This window comes from Homo sapiens, chromosome 22 (assembly GCF_000001405.40).
Source record: "Homo sapiens chromosome 22, GRCh38.p14 Primary Assembly".
NCBI lineage: Eukaryota > Metazoa > Chordata > Mammalia > Primates > Hominidae > Homo > Homo sapiens.
The window spans coordinates 25,882,591-25,905,601 of record NC_000022.11 but is presented as its reverse complement, the minus strand read 5'-3'; the positions used below and the strand labels follow the sequence as shown (position 1 = coordinate 25,905,601).

At 45.0% G+C, this 23,011-nt stretch overlaps 1 protein-coding gene and 1 long non-coding RNA gene across 17 annotated transcripts in view; one reads left to right on the top strand and one right to left on the bottom strand.

The window, feature by feature from the left end:
- MYO18B (myosin XVIIIB) overlaps positions 1 to 23,011 on the bottom strand; it is a 321,660-nt gene that overhangs the window by 158,246 nt on the left and 140,403 nt on the right. For 11 of the 14 annotated variants that reach the window (XM_011530461.3, XM_011530458.3, XM_011530464.3 and 8 more), the window contains 6 exons: positions 14,727 to 14,846; positions 14,190 to 14,298; positions 10,322 to 10,446; positions 7,141 to 7,295; positions 2,866 to 2,989; positions 1,771 to 1,971 (listed from right to left, as the gene is read on the bottom strand). In XM_011530461.3, the coding sequence (XP_011528763.1) occupies positions 1,771 to 1,971; positions 2,866 to 2,989; positions 7,141 to 7,295; positions 10,322 to 10,446; positions 14,190 to 14,298; positions 14,727 to 14,846 (834 nt within the window). The remainder of the gene's footprint in view (positions 1 to 1,770; positions 1,972 to 2,865; positions 2,990 to 7,140; positions 7,296 to 10,321; positions 10,447 to 14,189; positions 14,299 to 14,726; positions 14,847 to 23,011) is intronic. The other 3 variants (XM_017029014.2, XM_047441551.1, XM_017029015.2) reach the window with 1 other exon arrangement.
- On the top strand, positions 4,689 to 21,703 carry MYO18B-AS1 (MYO18B antisense RNA 1). 3 transcript variants are annotated; one of them, XR_007068035.1, is made up of 3 exons: positions 4,689 to 4,777; positions 5,718 to 5,886; positions 12,962 to 13,046. It is a non-coding gene; the product is annotated as an MYO18B antisense RNA 1 (long non-coding RNA). The 3 variants fall into 3 exon arrangements; XR_007068034.1 differs by lacking the exon at positions 4,689 to 4,777 and adding an exon at positions 5,244 to 5,332; XR_938086.3 differs by lacking the exon at positions 4,689 to 4,777 and adding an exon at positions 20,719 to 21,703 and having other exon boundaries at positions 5,666 to 5,886; positions 12,962 to 13,375.

Genomic DNA, 23,011 nt, shown 5'->3' with positions numbered 1-23,011 from the left:
TGCCTAGAACTCTCTCATTCAGCCAATTCTGATTCATCCTCCAGCTTCCCTCTTCAGTAAATATCACTTCCTCCAGGAAGTTTTCCCCGATCTCTCCCCCAACCCTGCTGTCACGACCAGATCTTCAAGTTCAACATTCCCCTAACACTAAGCATGACTATAAACTTTGGGAGGGCAGAGATTGTGTCTGTCTTATTTGCAATTGCACCCTCAGCATCCACAGAGTGCATGATGCAGAGGAGGTACTTAATAAATACAGGCTGACTGAGTAAAAGACTTGTCTTCCTTATCGCTCCTTAGTGAGCATCCAAGACTTCCTGGATCTTGTTCCCCAACACCCACCACCCACATGTCTTGATACTCACCAGGCTCCATCTTGTTGGAGCAGTGGTTAGCAAGAAGCAAGAGCTGACCCCTGGTTCCCCCATCCCCTGTCCCACCCATCCCCACTTCAGTTCAACAGAGCTGCTCAGAGTTCATCTGCTTTACACATTCATGACACCTGGTCACATTTTCTCGCATAACGGTGGCCTCAGCATTTTTTTTAAAAAAAACACTTTAAAATAATTGCCTTTTACAAAATCCCACAAGAGAAATTCGTTTAGAGCCAAGCATCAGAAGAAGTCTTACTTCCCCTAGAAATTTTTTTTTTTTTTTTATCTCAGGCATGTAACTCACATTTCCTTTTTCTTTCTGGCCACCAGGAATTTTAGAGCTAAAATTATTATGTGTGTAAGACCATATGTTATGCTTTATCTGCCTATTAATTCACTGCCCCCACCCTCCTCCTTAGTGTCTATTTTATTTTGTACTTTTGTGGTTTGGATTGTTTTATTTACAATTTTTGTGTTCTATTATACATGTATCTTGTAAGCTGCCTCAAATTATTTATAGAATGAGGTAAATAAGTAAGTACATAAATAAGCAAGCAGACAAATAAAGTATTCATCTGGTACTTTGCAGAGGGTACTGGTACAAGAGTATTTGATATTTTTGTCTTATTCCCTTTGTTATTTTATTTTCCCCAAAGAGTAGCACTTCAATCTGCCCCGAAGCTGTGCACAATGCCTAGCACATAGCAGACATTCGAGGCAGTGTGGGGTCAGATGACACAGGTTCCAAATCCCATCCCTGATACTTTCTCCATGTCTCTGAGTCTCAACTTCTACATCCGTAAAGTGGGGATAATACTAAGATCTCCCTACATAAGGTTCATGTGGAGATTCGTGAGATGTGTGGGGAGAGCTTAGGGCTGAGGTTAGTATACAGACAGTACTCAATGAATGTTAGATATTTGGTCAACAGCTATTTATTGAGCATCAGCTATGTACCTGGCCTCATTCTAGGCTCTAGGATTGCACTAAGAAGCAAGAGAAAGAGAAAAACAATCTGACTTCATGAAGCTTATATGTTAATGAGAGAGAAAGGCATAAAGCAAACTTTTAAAAAATACTATCTAATACGATGGCAGGTACCAGAGAGTAAAGCAACCCAGCTAAGGAGATGGGAAATGAATGCAACCTAGTGGGAGCTATTTGCAAGATGATTAAGGCAGGCTTCTCTGAGGAGGTGACACTGAACCTTGCAGGGGAGAGCTGGATCAGGAAGGATCTGAATGTCAGACTTAGGAGCTTAAAGGTTCCCTGGGATAATAGGGAGCCATTGAAGGATGAGGAGCAGCCAAGTGAGGCACCCACATTGTATTTTAATAACATCACTCTGCATTGGAGACATGGGACAGGGTGTTGCCCTGAGACAGGGCTTTCCTACCTGCTCCAGCTGCTTGATGGTGTTTTCCTGCTGGCTCTGGATTTTCTGTTGCTCAAGGGCGCTGGATTCCAACTTCCAGAGCCTCTCCTTCAAGCCAGCAACGCAATTTTCCCCCAGAGAGGGTGACCCCAGCAGCTCCCGTTTATGGTCCTGTAGCATCTCCACCTGCTGCTTCAGCTGTGAGGCTTCCTGCTCCTTTTGCTACAGAGACAAAGAGGACAGAGATCTGGAGTCACATGAGTATGCCTCCCTCCTCCCCCAGGGATACCTCTACAACCAACTGGGGCTGGAGTGGCGTTTTCCACTTTCCAATGCCTGCCATTTCCACCTGGACCCCACCGTCCCTCACAGCGCCCCCTGTGGGACACCAGCAAGGGCTGCTCTTGGTATAGCTCCTACAGGCATGGAGTTGGGGGTGGGAGGTAGGATTGGAATAAATTGTCCCTAGAGTTCGATCTCAGAGCACCTACAGGAAGGGTTGACCCCATTTGTAAGGGAAGTGGAGGCACACAGCTAAAGCTTCCCTGTGTGCCGTCTGAGGCTGGGATTGAGATGTTGGAGCAGGGAGGCAAAGTGCTCAGAAATGACTCTTCCAGGTTACAAAGTCAGCTCCAGGATCAAATAACTTTGGGCCAGATCGTGAAGGAGTTGAACGCCAGGCTAAAGCGCTCAGAGGTTCTCCTGCGAGTAGTAGAGAACCACAAAAGGATGAGGAGCAGCTGAGTGAGGCACCCGTGTTGTATTTTAGTAAAATCTCTCTGCATTGGAGCCTGCTTGGACCAGGACATTGCTCCTGGACAAGGTTATAGCTAACTCATTCTCTGCTGAGCCTGTTATACCTCCCAGGTAAGCACCTCGGAACCTGTGCAGGTAACTGAAGCAAGATCAAGACATCAATCTTGCTCAAAGTCTGATTATCAATTTACCAGCCACCATTTGCTATTTTATTAAGACACACTGGGATTCAGCTGCTTGACAGACCAGGATACCCTTGTGAAGTTTTCTCTCTGTCACCATTTGCAGCAGGTGCACGATGCAGTTTCCCGAGATTTAGCCACCAAGAGCCAAGATAGCTCTGTGTCCCCCATCCCTTACCTTCAGCTGCTGCTGAAGCTGGCCTAGCTCCCACCGGACACTGGTGTTCTCCTGGGTCACTTTCTCACGGAGACCCTTCTCAAACACTGACTCACCTAGGGCCTGGGCCAGCTGCAGGTCAAACCTGTGCAAAGCAGAGCACGTGTCAGGGCCCCGTAGGCAGGTGGGCAGGGGAGTGATTGAGGCAGGGGCAGGGAGGGGCTGCAGAGAGGCCGCTAGTTTCCCAAGAACCATTAGAAAGAGAGCAAAAGGAAGAAGAGAGATAGAGAAAGTATGAGAAGTTGGAAGTTTTTCTCAATGCTTTTACGTAAGGCTGTGGATGTAGGGTGGGAATCTGAAAAACCACAGAGCAATTTTTAGGGTTGAGGTAGACTTGCCACAGAACTATTCGATATACTTATAATTCTAGATTTCTCCCTCACCATAGTCATTCTGCCTGAATTTCCACTGTTAGACTGAGACTTCTGCTGCCCCCATCATCTCCCTACTAAAATGCTAATCTAAATGCTAACCCTAAAATCTAATAAAAATATATGGACAGGAATAAAAATAGAATAAAACTATATACAGATATAGAATAAAGGATATATTTTAAAGGTGGCCAGGCATGGTGGCTCACGCCTGTAATCCCAACACTTTGAGAGGCCGAGGAAGGAGGATCACTTGGGGCCAGGAGTTAAAGACCAGCCTGGTCAACAAAGTGAGACCCCATCTCTATTTTTAAAATTTTTAAACTTTAAAAATTTAAAATTTAAAATTACCTGGGCATCGTGGCATGCACTTGTAATCCCAGCTACTCTGGAGGCTGAGGTGGGAGGATCCCTTGAGCCCAGGAGGCCAAGGCTGCAGTGAGCCATGATTGTGCCACTGCACTCCAGTCTGGGTGACAGAGCAAGACCTTGTCTCAAAAAAAAAAAAAAAAAAAAAAAACCAACCCAAAAACCTGATCTATCTGGTCTGCCAGCATATGTCAAGGCCCCTTAAATCTACCAGGCCCCATTTGACTTCCAATATTTCCTGACCAATGAACAAACGAATGGATGTAAGTAGAATGAGGATATTCTACATTTCATATTTTAACATATTGTCTGGCTTATACTCTCATATGCCATACTAAAGCATGCTGATTATCAATAAAATGATGGACATTTATACATTCTTGTCCTCATTTGTTTCTCAAGCAGAAAACACAAAGACTAGTCAGTCCTACTGAAAGTCATCCAGGGAATTAATGCCTTGTTAGGGGCCCTCCTGCCCTTCTGTGATGACCACTGGGTGAGAAGCCCCTCCTGGATGTTATGTCACTCTGTTCAGTTGTCTCAGCCTCCTGGCAGTATCACAGGTGAGGAAACCGATAGAGAAGGCTTTGCCAAGCCTCAGTAAGGTGTGACTTTCAGTCACTTCCCCTTGGCCCAAACAGGAAGTCCCATTGTTCCAGAGATCTTGATATGGCAGAAGTGGGCATGGGGTTTGGCCTTTGGTGGCAAGAAAGTCTCGCTTATTATAAGACTATCCAGTGTTCCTTAATACTAGACTATCATTCAAAGTCTCAGACTTCTGAGAGACCCAATCATAATGGAGCCCTCCTGTTGGAACAGCTCAGGAGCTTTCTGATTGGCTGTTGGTGACATCATTCAAGGGGCACTATTTGCTGCCTCTGAATGGAAGCATTGTGATGAGGGTGATGATCCAGCAGTCCCAGTGTGTCAGGTCCTGGGCTGGGATCCATGTCGTCCTTACAACAGTTCAGCAAGAAACATGTTATTCGATCCATTCACTGAGGAGGAAACTGAAATCACTCGGAGAGGAGGAGTGATTCAGCCCCAAATTCCAAAGTGGTAGAAATGGACTTGGGCTTCCCTAATGTCTTAGCTAGTCCCCCATCTACCTGTCCATTCCTGGGACAGGTGAGGTAAGACAGTAGGGACCAGACAGTAACTGATGGTGCAGAGGAGTCCTTGACTTAACAGGCCACTTGATGCCAAAGAATAGCTACTACAAACACCAGCTCCTAGCAAACAGCCCACACTGACCAGCCAATTGCCTGAGGCCAGATAGGTTTGCACACAACCTTCAATCTGTTAAGAAAGGGCCTTGGGTCCAGCCACCCTTGAGTGTGGGAATCAGTGAGTCTAGCACAGGGCTTACCCGGAATTTCATCAGCCCTCAGAACCAAGCTTTGTGACCCATAGGGTAATCATGCCACAAACAATCCAACCAAAATGAAACCATCCCAGGCCACTCTGAACTTAGAAGCCAAAGCGGGAAACAGAGAACTCTACCAATGTGGAGGCATCACTCTATCCTGGGCCCAGCAAACTCAGGAGGCAGCTGCATCTACATTTCGATTAAGCATCGAGAGATGCAAGGAAGTATTACTGACTTCTAAATTTTCCCTTCACCATAGTCATTCTGCCTGAACTTCCACAGTTAGACTGAGACATAAAATGCTAATCTACCTGGAAAGGTAATGCCTGCTATCTGCAATTGGCATCAAAACATAAATTAGCTTCTGCCTAGAGATGGTAACAGAGCAGAGGGCATCACAAGAAAGCTAAGTTTTGAGAGGAGGGCATGCAAATATGAAGAAATAGGAACTTTGCTTGGGGGGTATCCTGGGGAGATTCATAAGTGCCTGGAATGAGGGATTCTGTCCAAAGGGAAAAGGAAAGACCAGACAGATGGAATTTTCTGGCTGCACAAACTCCAGAGGCTGGCCCCTTACTCATCAGAGAGTTGAAACCCTCAGTTAGGCCTCTCAGAACAGGAGTAGAACCCATAGTTGGGGGCCAAGAGGGTCACAGCTGGGAGAAACTTGGGGAATGATGGAGTCCCAACCTCTTGTTTCACAGACAGGGGTATATGTCAGAGCCATTCTTCCAGATCAGATGACCTGTTAAACTGAGACTTCTGCACCATCTGAACCATCAGTCACTCTCTGGCCCAGAGAGGTGGTGTTATTTGCCAAGGACACACAGCAGGTGGCCAAGATGGAGCCAAGCCATTTTCCCCACTGCAGGGGTAAGGTTCAGCCAGAGCACCCACAGGGAGGTGGAAAGGGGAACAGAGTGAGATATCAATAAACAAAAAATAAATCTTTCTTATTTTGGGGATGCAGAGCACGCTAACAATCCCCCAAAGACCTTTGTCAGATGAAGAAGCCAGCTCAGGAAAGCTGTAGGATAAATAAGATAAATAATATTTAATGCAGATCAAGTTCAAAATCTATGCCACCTCCATGGAAATATAATTCTCCTTCCTACTTCTTGGAAAGGAGGCAGTTTCCACAAATTCACATCTTGGCTCACACAGGAACATTTTTCTGTATTTTATCATGGGCCTTCTAAAAGAGGCTGCTTCCCACCTATTTGCCTAGTATGACATCTCCATTAGGACTTGGCTGGCTCAAAACAGGACCCCTGTATACCTTTCCCCTCACCGAGTGAGCTGGAGAACTTTAGACACAGCCAAGGCGTCCAAGCATCACAGGTTCTGAGGTTTTGCATGAAGAAGCCTATGAGTGTGCGAATCTGGGTACAAATCCAGGCTCCACCATCGCCTCACTGTAACAGCAACCCAAAGGGAATGCAAATATGGGAACCACACCGTGCAGATTCAAGATTAGCATCTTGCTGGTGCACAAGGCCCAGTCTCTGCCAGAATGGCTCACGTGATCTGAGAGTCCAAGTCCTAAATGAGAAGGCCATATTTTGGCCTCCTCCTTATTCTCTAGCCCAATTTTCACCAACAGGAAGAGGAACCAGGATCAGTCCACTTAGATGTACTGACTGCATCATTTAGTCCTCAGCACAAGGGGGCGATCTTATCACCAACCTACGGATAAGGAATCTGGCTGGGAAGGACTGAATGACCTGCTCAAGGTCACACATCTAGAAAGAGGCACCTTTAGGACTTGAATGAGATGACTTTTATATCAATGCCTGGGCTCCTAATCGCCATGCTGTCTTGACCGTCTGCAACAAACCCTTCACTCGACAAATGGGGATGTTAAGGCCCAGAAAGGCAAAGAAAGTTCCCCAAGGTCACAAGATCAATTGGCCACATAGTTGAGGCTGGCTAAGAGAAAAGAATAATTTCTTGCTGGATTCTTGGGAGAACCATACAGGAATAAGGTGTGACGGGACAGGGAGGAAGATTAGAGCAAAACAAGGGAGTTGAAGTGAGGGAGTTAGGAGAACCTGGATACCCCAGAAAACGCCAGCTCCAATGTAGCCCACCCTGGCAGCCCAGGTGATGGTGAGAGATGCAACTCACTTCTTCTGCTTCTTCTCCAGCTCATGGTTTCGACTTTGTTGGTTCTCTAGCAGGACGCAGGTATCCTCAAGGTCACAGGTAAGATGGTGGCACTTCCTCTTCAGTTGGTGAGCCATCTTCTTGGCCCCGTCATAAGCACTTTGCAACTCCCCAAGCTGTAAGAGTAATAGAATGAATTACCCGGCTCTGTGGGCATGGAACGAGCTTTTTACTTTGTATTTCAAGGAGTTGCTATTTCCAAGGTGTGTAATGAGAAAACAGCAGATGCTGGAATGGGGAGACCCTGTCTTGACTACCTTCCTCCAGGGTCACCTCCAGGAAGCTACTTTTCTGAGCCTCAGTTTGCTCAGAGGTAAAGTGGGGATAATTCCATCAATCTCTTAAGGTTGATTTTACTTTTGCTCAATAAACCTCCAGCCAATGCACCCACAGACTTTACCTACCCTGCCTCAACTTGATGACCCCTGAGCCACCGGATAACTCATATCCCCACCAGCCGACATGATCAGAAGGGATATGTGAGGATTAGCCACAGAGCAGCCAAAATGACATACCTAGAAAATCTGACCCGGAATCCCAAGTGACAAGCCTTAAAGGTTAAAGCAGCAAATGGCACTTTGCATGGACTGAATTAATACCAGAATGCACACGGCCTTAAACAAACAAAAGTCAAGACTCTTGCATCTTCCTCCAGGAAACACTCTCCCAAATGTCCTAGTTTAGATCTGGGAAAGAGCACGCAACTCAGCACACTGGCTTTGAAGAAATGGCCTCATTAAAAAATTGCTTTAAATAAGCAAAACTCTGAGTTAATGAAGCCTGTAATTCTAAATTCAGTATTTGAAGGCAAATGGGATGTTCTCTTATATTCTGCTGCTCAGAAAAGGTTGCTGTTTTATTACTTTTTAATGTAGCATAAATATCCCCCTTCATCAGGGAAACTGACTCAACTTTATAATTTGTTATTAAAGAACTGGGCTGCTTTCCTGCAGTTGTCCATCTGTGTTTATCTATGGTTCAAGATGTCTCTTGAGGACCACGATGCAATGTTCACCTTGAAAGCGACCACTAAAATCATCACCATCAGCATAGAGGATATCAAGAGTCACTTCCATTGTTTATAAAATCCCATGTGATCTCACCCAGGCCCACCTCTGCAAGGCAATCACATGATACTTTTTGCTCACGTTGAGAATAGAATAGATACACAAATATAACCTCCACCCTATGGCTCCGATATCGAATGGGAGAGACTATGAAGTGAGTAGGTAATTACAATACAACATGATGAGGCCTATGTTTTGGAAGACAACTCAGGGACTCCCAACCCAATCTGCGTCAGCAAAGACTTTCTGGAGAGAGTGACATTTAAGCTAAGATCTTAAGAATAGTTGGAGATATCTAGGCAGGAGAGAAAAAGAAAGATTGCTCGGGGAAGAAGAAATAGCACATGCAAAGTCCCAGAGGTGAGAAAGAATCAGGCATTTTTGGAAGGAGAAGAAAAAAAACTGAGTGTGGCTGGAATCAGTGGTGTGCCAGAGTCAGCTGGTACCGACTTGAAAGAGATGCACAGAGCTAATTCTGTGCATCCCTTTCAAATTCCATGTTAGTGACATCACAATGGTAGTTTGAAATTGGCCATGGTGGGAGTATTTACACCAGGGAAATTGGCAAGTGCTACAAATCAGGGCTTTTTGTTTTTTTCCAGGGAGCCATTTACTAGCACACCATTTGTTAGAGTGTGAACTGGTTAGAATGTAGACGAGGGATAGTTGGAGGCCACAGAAGACAAGCAGAGAGACCAAACTATCTGTACATTCATCTAGAAAGGCTAGATAAAAATATATTATATATAGATAAGATTGCATTAGATTTGTAATGTTACCTTCAAGAAAGAAGGAAATTTCAGGATATCAGAAATGCAGAGGACACAAAGCCCTAACAGTAATGGTACATACTAATATTATGGCGGCCAGGATGAGGGGGAAGAGCAGTTGATAGATCCAGAAGTGTCCTTTAGGATAGAGGTTTGTGTTTCAATGCCCAGACAGAGACAGGAGACAAGGCTCTGGGCTCATGGAAGGTGAAGAGTTGGAATGAAGACCGTTGCATTGACAAACCCCTCAAAGAACTGCATGCACCTCAGTGAGAAGAGAAAATAAAAGCTCCACCTGCTGGCCTGGAAGGTGGTAAGAAAGCTTGCTTTCACCCTGGATCTAGGTGGGGCAAGAAGTACTCTCGTAAGAATTTTAAACCCCAGGTCTAAGCCTCATGTGGGTTTAGAGATCCAATTGACAATTTTTACATGCCGCAAAACATCTGAGACCAAGAATTTAGCATTATCTCAAGGACTGCTGCCAAAGAAAGTGAAAAAGGGTTTCTTCTAGCAGAACACACCCACGACCCTGTTATCAAAGGGCTCCCATCAAAGTCAACAGAATGTTAAAAAAATTAAATCTCCTGCTGAAGGTGAACTCACAATAAAAAATAGCTAAATACACACACAAAAATTCACTGGGAGCGGAAAAAAAAAAAAACATTCCACAATGCAGAACACCTGTGACTACTGGGGGAGGAGCACAGAAACCTGTTGAAGATGAGCTCAAAAACGAAATTTACAAAACACACAAGGAAAAAAATCCAACATGAGAGTCAGCATACTTTATGATCACAGAACAATCTGAAAGAGACCCTGAAACATTCCTTGGCTGCAGTGTGGCAGGTGGTTGAGAGGAGAGGCCAGAGGCAAGGAGCACAGCTAGGAGGCTATTGCTTTGGTCTGGATGAGAGATGAAGGTAGCAGATTAGAACAGAGGCAACAGGGAAATGTGAAGGTTTTGAGACCGCTGATAATTATGTAATAGATAAGAAACATGAGTTAAAGTGACTTCCACAAGGTTCACGTAGAAATGGAACTGGAACTCAGATATCCTGAGTTAATATCCATGTTCTTTACACCACAGAGCAGTCTCTGGATAGAAGATCCACATGTACAGACAATATTTTTCATGTCTCACAGTGACCAGCATTTGTAATAATAGTGGAGATGGAAAAACCTTAAGGGGTTTGTGTCCTCTTCCTCCCTCTTCAGGCTCAGCTAATACCTCGATCACCCACAGTGGAGGTGAGAGCCTGCCCACTCTCTAACACTTCTGTGGCCCAGACTATCCCCACATCTTACCTTTTGCTCCAGCTCTTTCCTGGCTGTCAGCTCCGAGTCCAGCCTCTCCTCGCATTGCTGCAGACGCTTTCTGAGGAACTCGTTCTCCATCTGAGCACAGTCGAAGCGCATCTGCCACTCGTCTGCTGTTTAACGGAGTCAGGGAGACCAGGATAAGAGGCCAAATGAGTGTAAGGCAAGAGTGTGAGTGGCTCTCCTCCACTTTCTTGGCTCTTGGCATGCAATTTCACAATATTCACAGAGCCCTTGAGCCTCAACCTTGGACCAAGAAACTATGCTTTAACTCTGAGTTTTAAATAACGCTTCCTCCAGGCAGCCTGTCCTGACCACCTCCAACTGTCTAAAGTTCTTGAGTGCTCACTCTTCTAAGATTGGTTGCCTTATACTGTTTAGTTGTCTCTATAAGTGTATTCATATCTTCCCTTTTCCAAGGAAATTTCATAATCCTTAAGGGCAAGGGAGCTGTTTCAGTCATCTGTGAGTCCTTCACACCCTCTGGAAGAGTTCCCTACAAGCAGATTCCCCTACATGTTGATACAAGCTCATGGATTGCTTAATGAACCTAATACAATAATCAGATAAAAAGAGTCATCCTACTGGCCAACTTTATTGGGTTGTACAGAGTATATAATCATTGGCTGTTGGTGCAATTAACAAATGAGTAAATTAGCAATAATTCAAGACTCTACTAAACTGTTCAGAAGATGTCTCCACAAGATAAGATGGATACCAAATCCCTTGATTTGGTAAACATCTCAAAAAAATTATTGGCTGGTTTGATTAAAACTGTTTGACTGATTAGAATGGAATATTTTAGGCTAAGATGTCTTATCTTTTGACTATCTGAATAATAGAATAATGCCCATTAAGTTAATGAAGTTGTGGAAAACATTCCACAAGTGGATGACCAAAGATAGAGACCACCCACTTATTCATCTATCATCCATCCATCCATCCTTCCATCCATCCATTCACACACTCATTGAGCACACTACTTTGTACAAGATAATGAAATGAATAAGAAGCCATATCCACCCACCTTCCAGAATAATCAAGCAAGGGAAACAAGTAAAAAGACAGCTGAAGCCTAGTATGATCAGGGCTTTCATAAAGAAGCTTATAGAAATCCAGAAGAGAACCAAAATTAATAAGACAACAAACTTGTTTTGTTCATCATTGTGTTCCTAGAATATGCTATAATGCCTAGCATATAGTAAATGCTCAATAACTTCCACTGGAAAGGTGGATAGTTGAATGGATAGGACGTTTGACTAGATGATAGGGTGGAGGATTAATGGATAAATAGTTGGTTGGATAGGTGGAATAATGGATGGATGGATGGATGGATGGATGTTAGTGTAGACAGAGAAGTGGGTGCATGGGTGGATGAATGCATGGATTGATATATAAATAAGTGGTAGGGTATATGGATAGGTGGGTGAGTAGATGGGCAGATGGATAAATGGATGGATGGGTGGATGGGTGGATGGGTGGATGGGTGGATGGGTGGATGGATGGATAGATGGATGGATGGTAGGATTAAGTTCTTGAAAGAGGTGACCTCAATAGAGATTTCTACATCATTAACCAAATAACGGATGGTATAATAATAAAGAGTTAAAGCTTGTTCAAGCTTCCACCAAGGTAAAAACATCATGATGGGAAAAGCACACTATCTCTCCACCAGGAAAAGCCTCACAATCACAAGCAGCATGGACTGCAAAAGTAAGAAGCAGCAGCAGAAAGCATTTCTGCAGCTTCCCATGTACTCTGTGCTATGATGTGCTATAGAGCAAGTGGCATGAGTGGGCAACACGAACAAGAGGGGAAACTGTTCTCCTTCAAGGCTCATCTCTACCTTCAACCTCCCTGCCCATGAGTGCCACCCTTAATCAACATGTTTTCCTGAGTTTACCTGATATCCCCATTTATATCGTGAATATCTTGAGAGCAGGGCCCAATTAAAATCCCTCTGTAACCCCCACAGTGTCCAGCTCCACGCTGAGTGCATATCACAAAAGGTTCTCTTTAAATATTTAGCCATGCATAAAGGAAAACATATTTTTTTAAATAATTCATACTCCATCTTGAACCATAGAGGTGGTTGTGGTACCACTGCGATGATATGATTAAAATGTTTTACTGCTTCTTTCAAATTTCCTATATTTTAGACATTTTCTATAATGAGTATGTATTACTTTCATAATGAAAAACAAAATATTTGTGGGTTGGCTTCTTGGAATGAGCATCCAGAGCTGAGAGCCTATATAGCATTGTGACTAATGTGCCCATGAGCTAAGCACATGTCCCCCTCTCATTAACACCCCAATCTTAACAGAGGAAAACAAACTGGGAAGCATTATTTAGACATGAATTTCACGCAGATGGAACTGACACTGGCGCCCCTCTGGGGATTTTATAGAAATTACCTCCAAGGCCAGAGACTGTCCCACACTACTGATTTTATACCAACATGTTCCCCTCTCTCTATGTGTACCCTACCTTGTTGGGTCTCGCTTATAAGAGAGCCTCAAACTCATCTGTATTAACCTCCCTGCTAAATGCCTGCCACGGGGGTAGCCAGGATAACAAGAACAAGAATGAAACAGAAAATAAATACTCATTGTCTCTTTTCCACAGACCCCTGATCTCCATTCCCCTGGACATCTCAAGGGCACAAATTCTCTGGACACACGGAGGGAATAATGCTGACATTTTATAGAAGCTGACCCACTGGATATCCTTCTCACCCAACTCCATTAGGCTGGGGAGAGTAAGAGGCACGGTGACAAGGTGGCAAAGATGTCACCATGCCATCCAATCACGAGGTCTCCAGGAAACTGTATAAGAAGGACACCTCCAGAAACTCCTGGCACTACTGAACAAATGTATAATATCCCTGGGTAAAACCAAGAGTCCTCTCGCCTTCTCGCCATTTGGTAACTGTTGTGCGCCTGACACAGCTTTACCCTCTTTGAATGGGGAGAGCAGTAGTTTCTGTTCCACAGGTTGCTATAAGGATGAACTGTGATCTCATCATTCCTCATAATAATGGTAAAGTAGCTATTAGCTATTCATCACTCTATTCTATACATGTGGCTAAACATTTTCTATCAATTATCCAAGACAATCTCCATTTGAAAGAGGAAGAAACTGAGGCACAGCAATTTCTTTGCCCCAAAATCCAAATCCAGAAATACAACTTCATAGGTTCCAACTTTTAACCACTAGACAGCCTTCCTCAAAATTTACGTTTTCTTTTTGCTTTTATTTTTTTGAGACAGGGTCTTGCTCTGTAGCCCAGGCTGAAATGCAGCCTAGGTCTCCCAGGCTTAAGTGATCCTCCTACCTCAGCCTCCCAAGTAGCTGGGACTTCAGGTGCATGCCACCACACCAGGCTAATTTTTTAAATTTTTTGTAGAAATGGGGTCTCACTATGTTGCCCAGGCTGGTCTTGAACTCCTGAGCTCAAGCACTCCTCCCACTTCAGCTTCCCAAAGTGCTAGGATTATAGGTGTGAGCCACCACGCCAGGCCTCTCAAAATTTATTTTTAAAATATTCACATAAACATAAAAGTACCTTGCCCATAAAGCCACTATTTAAAAATCATTCTTTGCATTAAAACTAAATAGCACATATCATACAGATAATTTGTTACCTGGGATATTGTTGGATTATCTGATTAATATCTGCTTATTCCATTAGACTGTAAGCTCCAAGAGAGTACGCTGTGCCTGTTTGCTCTGCCAAAGTCGCAGCCCCTCATGCAATATCTAGCACCTAAAAAGTGCTCTATGAGTGACTGAATAAATGGGAAAGACAACTTTGTCCATCACCTTCCAGCCCCAAGGGTCCCAGGCTGCTCACCTCCTCCAGTGGGATTCCTTTCCAAGTCATTCAACTGAATTTTCTGCTGGGCTTCTTCCAACTGTTTATTCACATCTCCCAGTTTTTTCTGGACTTGTTCATGCTTGCTCTAGAAGAAAGGGCTCAAGGTCTAAACTAGAGCTGGACAGAAGACATGGGCTGGTCATCTTACCCATGAAGTGCTTCCAAGGCTCGGATTGGCCACCCTCTGCACAGCCCTGAGCCATGCAGAATCCAGGACCATGGGCTAGCCACCTTCGGCATATTTCTCACCCAAATCACCTCCAAGGCCAAAGACTGTCCACCTTCTGCACAATCCTCTCCTATTCGCCTCTCTAGCCAGGGACTATCCACCCATAACACCCCCAAGGCCAAGCCTTAGGAGACCTAAGTGTCCCCCAGGACCTTGAGCCCAGCAGTCAGTCAACCTGTGCATCTTGCTTAAGCTTACTGATCTCCAATGAGAGGGTCGGGGAGCAGACCCAACCATTTTTAGCCACCGTGTTCAGCCACCCCTGGCCACCCCTGACCACTCACCTTGAGCTCCTGGACCTCCCGGAAGGCCTGTAGCCGCTCTGCCCGCTCACTCTCCAGCACCTGGCAGGCCACATCACCTTTGAAGCGCTCATCGGCAAGGTCAGAGGTCAAGTCAGCAATCTGAGATGGGGAATGGGGTGATCAAGGAACGGTCACTCGATGGAGCCACCAACCCTTCTCTCCCCATGCACAGGATCGCCTTTGGACAAATCACTATCATGGGAAAGCAACCCTTGAGTATAATCAACTCGTTAAGAGGATGGACTTCAGAATTTTATTGGTCTTGATGTGGTTCAACACTCACTAGCTGTGTGATTTTACACCAAGCAGGATGCCTTGCTGGTTCTCAGTTTTCTCAGCTTTAAAGGGGGGAAAACAACATACATCATTATTTTTGAGGATTCAAGGAGATAATCCATTGAAAGCTTAGCACGGTGCCTGGCACGTAGTAAGTGCTCAGTTTTAAAAATGGCCATTTTAGTGGAATCTCTTCGTAACCAGCTTTTAGCAAATCATCTCACTGGATGTACCAACACTGTCCCTCAGTAAGACACACTGATGGATGCCCACTGCACCAGAATGCTCTCCACCAGACCACCTCTCTACAATGGCCCCATGGCCTATCTGCCTCTAGCAGGTGACAGGCATGCACATCCAGTATCACATGTGTGTGCTCCCAAACTGTTTTTGCCTATTGCATTTTTACCATAGCTATCTATTCAGTTAGCTACTACATAAACTTATAAAATATGGCTGGACAGAGTTTCCATGAAAACTAGGTTGAATGCCTTGGAAGGAATTAATAAAGGTAAGCTGCTTTTTAAAATGCTGCCAAATAGGTGTTGTTGCAACAACTAAAAAGAAACTTGAAGTAAAAAATTAGGTTTTTGTATTCAAATTACTTTGCCATTTGCTCTGTTTTAAAGAAGCCAAAATTGGAAATCATACGGTTGTATATTAGGAGCGTGGTTTAAGAAAGAAAGAAATGGATGGGTCCTGCCTCAGAAATGCAGTGATTTAAATTACACATGTAATTAATTTTAAAATAGGAATTTTTAAATGAATTCCCACCTGCACTGGTTTTTTTTTCTGATTAACTGACCAGCCACCGATGCCAAATGAGCAGGGCTTCTGTGGCATTATCGTTCCAAAATGAAGCGTTCAGGGTTTGAGGATATGGCAGAGTACGTAACGGGAGAAATATATTAGTGGAGTGTTTATGGCTAAGAGGCAGAGAAACAACCCTATGTAGGAGAAGGGCAGCTCATAAAACTGAGGCTACCTCTTATGGAAGGCAGCAGAATTGTAAAAAAAAAAAAAGAAAGAGGTAGGGTGCAAGGTTCGAGTCCAGACTCAACAACTAACACCTTGGACATTCCCTCCTGCTCTGGAGCCTTGGTCACCTGAGCTGTAAAATGCATTGAATTGGGTGCGGTCACATGTCCTCCTGCTGTAAATTTTGCATGTGAAGATGTTAGAATGCCTCACTCTTTCATCGGACCCTCTGCATCATGACTGATATTTAGAGGCGACTCTGCATTATCTTTACTGAGAAGGTAAATGGTTCTTACAATGAGCAACGTAGCTGCCCTTCCCGAGCTAGCCTCTCTCGGTACTGTCAGCTTAGGCAGGCTCAAAATTTATTCAGCTGTCCCATGAAGAAGGAAGACGCAGATCTATGTTCTGACATAAAAAAAATATATCCCCAAGATATATTGCCAAAGGGGAAAAAAAGGCAAATTTCCAGAATAGAATGTTTGGTGTAATCCCATTTTTGTTTGCACAGAACAAAGCACTCCCAAACTGTTAATTGAGATTTTTTTTTTTTTCCTGGAAGGATGGGCTCACAGGGAACTCCAATTTTCTTGTGATGCATTTCTGTACTGTTGATTTTTTAACTGATTTTGTAATCAGAAAACAAAACATCTTTCAAAAAGAGTGAACAAAATCTGAGGCTGCTCTGTGCATTCCATGCTCCCCATCTGTTTCACTTCTCCAGCCCATCTGCCTCCCACCCTGTTGACCGCATCACCGACTGCTGAGACCAAAATGCACATTTCAATAGACGCAGAGGAGAAAGAAGGCTTGGGGGAAGCACTGCAAAGTCACATCACATGTAAAAGGCAGAACTGAGATTTGAACTCAGACCAGTCAGGTCCAAGTCAGGACCTCCAGTTAATTAATGAGGGACTCTCCTAGGGTGTTCCTGGTTGTCTCCAGCATGGGAGCTTTCTCTTGCTGTTCCTTACACCGTGCACCAGGGAAGTACTTATGTGGCAATGACCTCAGATGGTTGTTAAAATGCAAATTCTAGGGCAGAGCATGATAGCTCATGTTTGTAATCCCAGTGCTTTGACAGGCTGAGGTAGGAGGATCACTTGAGGCCAGGAGTTCAAGACCAGCCTGGGCAACATAGCAAGACCCTGGCTTTAAAAAGTTTTTAAAAATAAACCAGCCGAGATGGTGTGTGCCTATAGTCCCAGCTGCTCTGGAAGCTGAGGCAGGAGGATCACTTGATCCCAGGGGTTTAGGCTGCAGCAGCTATGATCACACCACTGCACTCCAGCCTGAGTGACAGAGTGAGACCCTGACTCTTAAAAAAATAAAAGAAAATGCAAATTATAGGACTCTCAGACCCCCAAACCAGGATCTCTAAAGCATAATTCAGGAATCTACATTTCAACCTGCTCCAGGGTGATTTTTATGAACAAAAAAATTTAGGAATTACTGCCATAGAAACTGCCAGGGTCTCCTCCTAATTTTGGCCTCACACTTGGATTTGAAGGGGTTAGATTTGCTTAAGGCTGTGCAAAATCATTCTTGCTGCAAGAGTGCTGATTTGCACTGGCCACACAATACAGGGAGGTGCAAGCCAGGAATGCCCCAGGTCACACCCCAAACACCATCCTTGAAATTAGCATTAATTCCAAGCACCAGGACTGTGTTCTCTCCACCTTAGCCAATTAGTGTGAAATTTAATTTATGCTAACCGGCCTGAGCAAGGGGACCACACAATTAATTTGATGCATTAATTTTGAGTTTCACAGAACCCAAAGTCTGGAGCCCAAAGGACAATTAGTCTTTTCAAATTGGGGGAAATGACACATGTTTTTCTCAGAGACAAGGTGCCCCTGACCTTCCCCTGTCCCCATAAATCCCTATCCCTTCCCACACCATGGGGCACAGGGGCTTTGGATGGAGGTGAGGAGCAGGCACCATGCTCAGAGCTGTCAGGCGATTGCAAATTGAAAACCAATTTAATGAAGGGGGGAGTCTGGTTTGCAAACCCAGAAGAGTCCTTGCAGATTACTCAAGAACCAATTAACCAGAAATTATCTTGAAAACCTCTCCGGATCTACCACTTGGCCAAACCAACAGAAATATTCTTTCTATTGAGGGACAATTACTCCAAGGGCCTGCCAGAGAGAAGGGGACAGGAATTAATAAATTTGTTGTATATTTTGTATGGAGTGGAACAGAAAAAAAAATATCCTGTGCACTGGCCTCATTTGCAGCTTGGGCGAGCAGTGAGTAACTGGGATTTCACGGATGTTAAATGCTGGAGGACACACCTGGGGTCCTTGGGACCGTCACTGTTGCTTGTTCTTCACGGATCCAACAAGCACTATGTGAGCACTTACTGTGTGCCAGGTCCTGTTCTGAAGGACCCCACTGGCCAGTCAGAGAGACAAACAAACCACAGGGGCACACACGGGTCTTGGCTTGATCCTGTCCTCAGCTCTTATATTCATAGACTGTCAAGCCCAAAAACCATCTGACCTGCAGACAGCAGGAAACAGCAACTTTTTGCTCTCCTCCCATACTTTGCAATTTGCACAGAAAGATCTGTTCATTATAACCCCTTGGGTGAGAAACAGCTCACACTCTTGAAATGCTGAGGATAGGTATGCCCTAAGCATTTGGCATATGTCATTTGCCTTAAGCCCTTCAAATACCTTATGAGAAGGGCATTTTTGTTATTCCCCTTTTACAGAACAGGAAACTGGGGAGTTGAGAGAGGGAGTGATTTGCTTAGGATCATAGCTGGTAAGTAGCAGAGGTAGCCCAGCTTGGGCTGCCTGATTCCCAGCACCTGGCTCACAACAACCCCACTATTTTCTGTCCCACATCTACCATCTGACCCTTTCTTTGACCTCCCTCACCCCTCTGGCATCTGGAGGTTAGTAAAGCAATTATCCACCTAGAACAAACCAGGCAGCCATAGCCCAGAGAGCTGAGATTAAGTAGCCAGTGGGTACAGATCAAAGACCAAGTAAGATCTGGACCTCAACCACCCTTGCTGGACACTTTGGCCAAAGAGAGCCTAGGTGGATGCCCAGTGGAAGGGAAGCCCCCACTCCCACCCCCTTCAACCTGAGTGAAGAAAAGACAAAATGAGGCAGTAGATACAGGGCCAGCCCAACTGCAGTACCAGCTGGCTTGTGGGATGTTCGTCAAGGAGATTAAGCCATGGCTTCAGTCTCATGGTACTGCCCCCAGAGCTGCCTCAGTCAGCAGGGGAAATTCAAAATAAATCTGCAGCTTAGTGGCAGGCTCCCGGGTTCCCCAGAGATGCCTGTTGGACACCAGTTCCAGCCCTCTGCTGTGCATCCCAGCTGGGTTCACCACTCGCTACTAAGTAACATATAATAACCATAATAATAACCATCGCCACCACAGATAGTGCTTACCACATGCACAGGTTTGCCCACAGAATGCTCAAAATGCTGAGAAGTGGGTACTGATGTTGTCTCGAGGTGGCAGATGGGGAAACTGAGGCACCAAGGTGCAAACGCTCACCGAAGGACACCAGCCAGGTGGTGGCTACTTAACCACTCTGCCAAACTGACTCTTGAGGACTCAATGAATACGGGTTGACTGAACTAACAAGTGCATGACAGCAATTCATACATGGGAAGGCTCTATAGGCTCTGGATGTCAGTGGGAATGGGTCAATCTTGTAAGAATGCCAGGAGAAAGGTTATGCCTCTGAGCTGGGCATAGGAGGGTGACACACCACCCACTGGCCTTGGGGGTCCCTCTAGAATGAAGGGACAGTTATGGCCTTTCAGGGGCTTTATAAGGGGGTTTCAAGGGCCATTAGGGCCCCCCAAGTGTTTCAGCACAAAGAGGAAATAATCCTAAGATCATGACACCCACATACCTCTTTTTGAAAATGTCCTTTGGTCCTGCCCTCCCCTTCAGGATGAAGTCCAAACCTCGAATGTGATTCTCCTGACCCCCTGCGATCCAGTCCGGCTTCATGCCTCATCTCTAACCCATAGGCAACCCCTCAACCCCCCAAACACAAACACATCCCCATACAAGACACTCCAACCACCAGAATTGCACCTGCCAGACCAGGTTCTGCTCTCCGCCTCTGCTCTTGCTGTGCCCTGTACCTGGAATGTCCCCTCACCTTGTCACCTGGCCAGCTCCTGCTTATCCTTCATGACTTCTCCCCCGTGAAGCCCTCCCTGACCCCATTTCCCACCTGAGTAGATGCTTCTCCTCAATCACAGTCTGTTTGGAGTTGACCAGCCCTGGGTTCAAATCACAGTTCTGCCATTCACCAGCTGAGTGATGTAGGACAAATCACTTCAGCTCTCTGGGCTTCCCTTGCCTCATCTGTGAGATGGGGATACTAACACCTTCTTCACAGTTTCAGTTAAAGGTAAAATTAGATAATGCAGGTAAATGCTCACAATGCTGAGAGGACTTATCGCAGCAGCTGGCACAGAACATCACTCATTAAATGTAATTTTTCTAATTAAATTCAGTATGACTCCATTCACTGAATTTGCATTGAATGCTTTGTACTAGACACAGAAGGGTATAAAACTGTCTACGATATGTCATTTTCTTTGAGGAATTCACTCTACTGGGGGGAGGGTAAACATTTAAAAAATATATTTATTGGTAATAGTGGTGATGTGGCTTGCTAGATAGCACGCAGTGTTATAACTGTTTTACATGCACCTTCTCCCCACAGGCTTATCAAGATGAAGTAATGATTACCATTGCCATTTTACTGATGATGAAACAAAGGCTAAGAGACTTGAAGAATTTGCCCACAATCTTGTAGCAATGAAGGTACAGAGTCAGCCATCTGGAACTCAAGCTGGCTCGACCCTCTGCCCCTCCAAACTGGACATACAAGGTCAGGTCACTGCATTCATTCCTTACCTTGTACAGTGCCCAGATTATTCATCTGTGTTACAAGGCAGGTAGAGAAGAGATTATGGACTCGGTTTTGTATGGGCAAACTGAGGCACACAGTCAGAAAGAATACACCAGCTGTTCTTTAGCTGAGAGGCCTTAGTTTCTTCCACCAGGACCATCTATGAATATGACCACCATGTCTCTTCCACTGTCCACCAGGAGATACTCCCTAGCATGTCCCAACAGTGAAGGCTCAACAGATCCTAATAGCCTAAGACAGATAAGAAACCAGGCTGTCTAATTTCCCCCGGGGATTAGGGAGCTACCAGTCCAGTTCCTCACAGAAGCATGATGCTGTGGCAGGACTATGGAGCGAGGAGTCAGGAGACCTGGGATGTGGTCTGGGCTCAGTTACCAGTGACCATGTGACCCCAACAAGTCACTTTCCTACCTCCTGCTAGAGACAAGCTGGAAGCCACACTCATGACCCATGATCAAACTCCCTCAGCACTTTGCAAATAGACTTTCTGACCTACATACATCTGCAGTCCCCGTCAGTGGATTGTCTCCACAATTTCTTACCAAAAGCGAAACCTCTCAGGCTAATGAGGCCAGAAATGAGGAGTGCATGGGCCTGTCTTTTGCCATAAATAAGGTCTTGGGGGGAAAATCCAGAACCTATTCCAGAGAGGGGTGGAAAAACACCCCACCTCATTTTATATCCCATGTGGTCCCAAAACCTTACAGGTGCTTCCAACAAGAAGGCCAGCACTGCCTTCTTATGAAAATAAAAAAACCCCAGTTTGCATCAAGGCACATTTTGCATGCTTGAAGAGTATTTATAGCCAGATTCTTAGAGGCTCCTCATCTCCTCTTCTGCTCCTTCACAAATGAAGCACTTAAATCATTTTGCAATAGTGATGTCTTTTTAATAAGCCTAGTCAAATGGAGTTTTCACTGACGAGACACGACACGTTTTAGCAATGTTTATATTACTGTTTCTCCCCCTCCAGAGACAAAGGGGTGGCATGCAGAGGCCACGAACCGCAGCAGGGGTGTCATCATGATGCATGGTCCTGGAAGGGTGTCTGATCCCTGTCTGTTAACAGAAATTCCCTTCCAAGGAAGCAGATGCACATGGAAGAAGATATCTTCTAGCTGTTCTCTGGCCTAATGTGTCTCAAAGTGTGGTCCCAGGACAGGCACCTTTAGCACTCTAGCATGTTAGAAATACAGCCTCCCCAAGGCCACGCCAAGCCTACTGATTCAGAATCTCTAAGGCTGGAGTCTAGCAATCTGTATTCGGAGAAGTCTTACAGGGCATTCTGACACATTTGCAAGTGTGAGAACCACTGCTCTAAAGCAACCTCACCCTCTGAATCAGGATTGCCTAGGGGCTGGAGGGCTCCCTACCCCCCATACCAAGAACCTCCTCTTGGGTCAGACCCTCAGGAGGTGGACTGGGGAAGATACAGAGCTAACTGTTCCCCAGGTGACTGGAATGCTCTTTAAAGTGTAATTACAGGTCTGGTGCAATGGTTCACGCCAGCACTCTGGGAGGCCAAGGCAGGAGGATCGCTTGAGCCCAGGAATTGGAGACCAACCTGGGCAACAAAGTGAGACCCCCATCTCTACCAAAATTGAAAAAAAACAGCCAGGCATGGTGATGCACGCCTGTGGTCCTGGCTACATGGGAGGCTGAAGTAGGAGGTTCGCTTTAGCCCAGGAGGTTGAGGCTGCAGTGAGCTGTGTTTACTCTACTGCATTCCAGCCTGGGCAAAAGAGGGAGATTCTGTCTCAAAAAATAAAAATAAAAATTAATTAACTAATTAAAAAAGAGTAATGACCTCATGAATATAAGGCACACTATTTGGGTGGTAGTTGCACTAAAAGCCCAGACTTCATCACTATGCAATACATCCATGTAAAAAAACTGCCATTGTACGCTCTAAAACTATTTAAAAATTTTTTAATGTAAAAGTGACCGACATAAACCAGTAGTAGCACTGGAAGTTGGGGAAGATGAAGTGGGAAGGAAGAGAAAGATTTGAGGAAGATAAAGTCATCATAATACTCAGTCATCAAACGTGCTTCCTGGATAAAGCACTGCTTTGATTTCAATT